The sequence below is a fragment of the Homo sapiens genome, chromosome 5 (genome assembly GCF_000001405.40).
Source record: "Homo sapiens chromosome 5, GRCh38.p14 Primary Assembly".
NCBI lineage: Eukaryota > Metazoa > Chordata > Mammalia > Primates > Hominidae > Homo > Homo sapiens.
The window spans coordinates 62,221,319-62,227,325 of record NC_000005.10 but is presented as its reverse complement, the minus strand read 5'-3'; the positions used below and the strand labels follow the sequence as shown (position 1 = coordinate 62,227,325).

The 6,007-nt window shown below is 40.5% G+C and overlaps 1 annotated feature.

The window, feature by feature from the left end:
* Positions 3,702-3,851: a silencer, noted in NCBI's record as "silent region_16050". NCBI's record gives its function as "represses an Ori minimal core promoter by ATAC-STARR-seq in GM12878 lymphoblastoid cells {active_cell/tissue: GM12878}" and the evidence as "EXISTENCE:reporter gene assay evidence [ECO:0000049][PMID:35858748]".

Here is a 6,007-nt window from a genome sequence, read left to right as displayed (position 1 = left end):
TATTCAAATAGGAAGAAAGGAAGTCAAATTGTCTCTGTTTGCAGATGACATGATTGTATATTTAGAAAACCCCATCGTCTCAGCCCAAAATCTCCTTAAGCTGATAAGCAACTTCAGCAAAGTCTCAGGATACAAAATCAATGTGCAAAAGTCACAAGCTTTCCTATACACCAATAATAGACAAACAGAGAGCCAAATCATGAGTAAACTCCCATTCACAACTGCCACAAAGAGAATAAAATACCTAGGAATCCAACTCACAAGGGATGTGAAGGACTTCTTCAAGTAAAACTACAAATCACTGCTCAAGGAAATAAGAGAGGACACAAACAAATGGAAAAACATTCCATGCTCATGGATAGGAAGAATCAATATCATGAAAATGGCCATAGTGCCCAAAGTAATGTATAGATTCAATGCTATCTCCATCAAGCTACCATTGACTTTCTTCACAGAATTGGAAAAAAACTACTTTAAATTTCATATGGAACCAAAAAAGAGCCCGCATAGCCAAGACAATCCTAAGCAAAAAGAACAAAGCTGGAGGCAGCATGCTACCTGACTTCAAACTATACTACAAGGCTATAGTAACCAAAACAGCATGATACTGGTACCAAAACAGAGATATAGACCAATGGAACAGAACAGAGGCCTCAGAAATAACACCACACATCTACAACCATCGGATCTTTGACAAACCTGACAGAAACAAGAAACGGGGAAAGGATTCCCTATTTAATAAATGGTGTTGGGAAAACTGGCTAGCCATATGCAGAAAACTGAAACTGGACCCCTTCCTTACATCTTATACAAAAATTAACTCAAGATGGATTAAAGACTTAAACATAAGACCTAAAACCATAAAAAACCTGGAAGAAAACCTAGGCAATACCATTCAGGACATAGGCATGGGCAAAGACTTCATGACTAAAACACCAAAAGCAATGGCAACAAAAGCCAAAATTGACAAATGGGATCTAATTAAACTAAAGAGCTCCTGCACAGCCAAAGAAACTATCATCAGACTGATCAGGCAACCTACAGAGTGGGAGAAAACTTTTGTAATCTATCCATGTGACAAAGGGCTAAGATCCAGAATCTACAAAGAACTTAAACAAATTTACACGAAAAAAAAAAACCCCATCAAAAAGTGGGCCAAGGATATGAACAGACACTTCTCAAAAGAAGACATTTATGCAGCCAACAAACATATGAAAAAAAACTCATCATCACTCGTCATTAGAGAAATATAAATCAAAACCACAATGAGATACCATCTTATGCCAGTTAGAATGGAAATCATTAAAAAGTCGGGAAACAACAGATGCTGGAGAGGTTGTGGAGAAATACGAATGCTTTTACACTGTTGGTGGGAGTGTAAATTAGTTCAATCATTGTGGAAGACAGTGTGGTGATTCCTCAAGGATCTAGAACCAGAAATACCATTTGACCCAGCAATCCAATTCTGGGTATATACCCAAAGGATTATAAATCATTCTACTATAAAGACACATGCACACATATGTTAATTACAGCACTGTTCACAATAGCAAAGACTTGGAACCAACCCAAATGCCCATCAGTGATAGACTGGATAAAGAAAATGTGGCACATATACACCACGGAATACCATACAGCTATAAAAAAGGATGAGTTCATGTCCTTTGCAGGGACATGGATGAAGCTGGCAACCATCATTCTCAGCAAACTAACACAAGAACAGAAAATCAAACACCACACGTTCTCACTCATAAGTGGGAGTTGAACAATGAGAACACATGGACATAGGGAGGGGAACATCACACACTGGGGCCTGTTGGGGGGTGGGTGGCTAGGGGAGGGATAGCATTAGGAGAAACACCTAATGTAGATGACGGGTTGATGGGTGCAGCAAACCACCAAGGCATGTGTATACCTATGTAACAAGCCTGCACGTTCTGCACATGTACCCCAGAACTTAAAGTATAATAATAAAAAAGGGGAAGATTTCCTAATCTCTTACTCAGAAGATCCTGATTCTCCAAGACCTAGACATCTGCATTTTTGAACTCAGACTGAGAATTACCATTTAAGTATTTAGCACCACCCCCTAGTGGTGGTTACTTGAAATTGCAGATGTAACAAATTGAAAATACAATTCTTCGAATTCTTCCTGTGTATTTGTTGCACGCAAAGTAACAATCGTTCGCATCTATTTTAGAGCTAGTTAAATATAGCTAGTTTTAGAGGAATAGCCACATGGGGGTAAAAACTCCTTATTCTCTAGTGATTATCTGGAAAGGACTCTCAGAAGTATTAAGATAAAAAAATAGAAAGTTCATAAGTAGCAATTAATTAGCTACTACTTATTGTCAGAGAGCAGTTAAAGCTTCCAACTCATAGCCAGGCTGATTATTAAAGAGCTATACGATTAAAGTAATTGAAACTGTGCAGGTGAAATGGAAAGTTAGTGGCCTCCAAAAGTCATGAAAAACCAACACTGAACTTCCACTAACTATGGAAGAATAGCAGTACGATCCCCAGGGGTGTGTATTTCTTTGAACCATTGTTTTAACTGGCTAGAGGAAGTTTGTGTTTATAATTTTATTAGCTTATCATTTTGGGTTGGAAATTTTTGTTCTATAGCCGCAATGCAGACTAGCCTGCAATGCCACCACCGTCTCTATCCTTGCTTGTCTGCTTTGGTACCTTTTTCCCTTGGACTTCCCAGAGGGTAGAACAGAGGGCAGCCCGGTGTTAGAGCCCTGATAATGGGAGGGAAAATGTTCCAAATATTCTAAATGGGGCAACTGTTTCTACACTTGGGTCAGCTGGAAGACTCTTCCAGCTTCATGGTGTATTTGTTGGCTTGCTTGCTTTCTGTTTGTCATTCTCAGATTCTCCACAAATATTCATCCTGTGTTTCTAACCCCCATGTTTTCTCTCACTCAACACAGGCTCATATTTGAACCAGAAGATCATCTAGTACAAATTTCTCACATGCTTGATGAGGAGACTGAGGTGTGAGTAGGGTAGCTGCTCTCAGGTTACAGAAAGGGGTGGCTGTCCAGTGGAGCTGTGTCCCAGCACTGCTCATGGTGGCCCAGTAATACTTGCAGGCCAGTGTTCTTTCTGTGACCATCCAACTCCTCAACATCTGCTTTTCATTTCCTTCCTCCATCCCTATAAACATCCCCTACACCCAGAAACGCGCCCCGCTATGCGCGTGCGCGAGGGCGCGCGCGCGCGCACACACACACACACACACACACACACACACACACACACACACACTCTCTCTCTCTCTCTCTCTCTCTCTCTGTTTTCTTCTTTCTGCAAATCCCCTTCCCTTCCCATCTTGGCAAGCTGCCCAAAGTATGAAAAATTAGGCAAGTTGAACCTTTAAAAAATCCTTTATTTTAGAATAAACCCAAAGGAAACCTCAGCTGTCCAACTTTCACTAACTAAATTATGCAGTGTTTCCTTCTGTTCCTTCGTCTTTATTTATTTTTATGGGTTAAGGCTTTGACGGGGGGGGGGGAAAAAGGTTTATTTGTTACACTCCAGAGGAGAAAGAACTTGAAGGAGGAAATAGAAAACAAAAGGAAAGGTGAGCCGAAGGATTAAATAACGAATCAAGGGAACACGAAATACAAATCTGGACATGCCCACATGTACTTTTCCATTTAGAAACAGACCCAAGAAACAAGTGGTGCGTTTACCCATTTTTTCGAGACTAAAGCCCTTGCTTAGTAGTCCCCGAAGTTAGCGTTAGCCTGCCCTCTAGTGGTGCCTGAAAACATGTGCTAGACTGTGGTGCCCAATGCAGAGCTTTGCTTGTCCCAGAGATAGACGCTTGAAAACCTCAAGATTAGAAGGAACGCTTCAGCAGCTTTCCAGTAAATACAGTAGGTGGAGACACACACTGGAAAACTGCAACCTAGGCAACATTGCTTTCGTTTGACTCTTAGAAGATTGCTAGGCACCCAGAGTTATTGAAACTCGGGTTGACCGTAATTTGTCATGCTTAATATTTCCTGCTTTTAAAAAATTGTTAAAAATGTTAATATATGGAGATTTTAAGCGCATACAGTTTATAAATCCATTGGCGCTTCATGCCATTAATTATCTTAAATACCCACCAAAAGCAGAAATTTGGGTGGTGGTATGGAGGTGCAAAGGTTAATAAGACACAGACCCTGTCCTTAAAACTTACTCTCTGTTTAAGAGAAGATCTATTTGAATGTAATTACAATACATGGCAGTGGTATAACAAAGAGACAGTTTAAATATATATATATATATGTTGAAATATATATATATGTTTAAATATATATATATGTATACACACGCACACATACACACACACACACAAAACTGTGCTAGGTATGTCCACATCTTACTTAATATTTACCACAACTATGTCTTTTTACTTAAGAAGAAAGGGAGGTTCAGAAAGGTTAAGTAACTTATCTTAGTTCAGATAGCAAAGAAATAGCAAAATTAGAATTAGAATTCAGGTATTTTGATTTTACTTTCATTTCAATTAACTTCAACAGAGCTTTATTGAGAATCTACCATGTACCAGGCACTATGCTACATGCTGAACATGCAAATATAGGAAATACCACTGGCCTCACGGTTATAGTCTTGTAGGGGACTGGGCTATGCAGAAACAAGCTGTATTGTGATATATGCAATAATGCAAGTTTGTACATATTACCTTCTGAGCAAAGCAGCAAAGAGTGTTCTTTTTCCATAAGTTGTTGACTTTCTGTCTTGTGACCCTGGTAAGTAACCATGATCGAACTGATCAAGAATCTGTAACTTGGCCAAAGGTAACCACAAAATTGTGCAAAACTACAGGATACATAGAGTAAATATTTTTGGGGTTTCATTATTACAGATGACGTTGAGGAGAGAAAAGTTTTACATTTTTACAATCTTAGGTTTACCAATGGGCTCTGGGAGGCCTAATAGCAGAATTCTGCCCAATAGTGGAGGCAACTCACTGACCCAACCAGTGAGAGCACAGGTAGTTTCCACTGTGAGAAACTCAACTACAGAACCAGAGTAGAATTAGAAAGAAACAAAAGTGGAGGTAACAGCTGAACTGGTGAGAAGCGGAAGCACAGAGAGGTGAAGGAGAGAAGTGGAATTGTGAGTATGGCACCGTCAGGAGTCAGGGGCCAAAGGTCCCTCTTCTCAAGGGGGTGCTACCATTACTGACTCAAAGGGGAGCCCTTACTGACATCCCAGGGCTCTGGGAGGCTGGACTGCAACCTGCCTAGTGTCATACCCGTGCTTCCTTATTGCCTTAAGTATCTTTCCAATCACCCACATCACCAGAGGTCACCCGAGACTACTTGATCTTTGCAACAGAAAGTGTAACTCCTGCAGCACCAAAGTGGTGCAGAGGAGAGTGAGGAAGTGTGGCTGGAAGGGTGGACGCAGCAGGGGCTTTACCAGGAGGCGATGCCAAAGCAGAGTTCTGAACTACAATGAGGGGTTCGCAAGGAAGACAGAGGGGTTTGCAAGGCAGGAGCTGCAACGAGGAGTTTGCAAAGAAGACAGAGGAAGGTACCTCCATAATTCTGTGTTTATTCCAGTACTGGACATAACCCATGGCAAACCTTAATTTCCAGGATCTCCTTTGTGTAATAACACCAGAAATCCTTTCTTCAGGAACCCTGGCTTTGAGAGAGTGGCATGAGAAAGGAGAATTTTCTCTTTTATGGAGGCTGTAAGTCCTGAAGCTTGATGTGCTGACCCTATTGTGTGGCCTTAAATATTGGCATATTCTTCTCAACTGGGATATGGGGATACAGCACTGGGGCCAGGGGATTGTGCAAAACTAAGGATACATAGAGAAAAATCTTTTTGGGGTGTCATTATTACAGGTGATGTAAAGAGAGAAAAGTTTTAACTTTTTACAATCTTGAAAGGTGTTGTCCTGTATGATCAGTATAAACCTACTTTTTTGTATTGGGTTAATTTTTTTCCCACTCATTTGCATAAAATCCAGGGT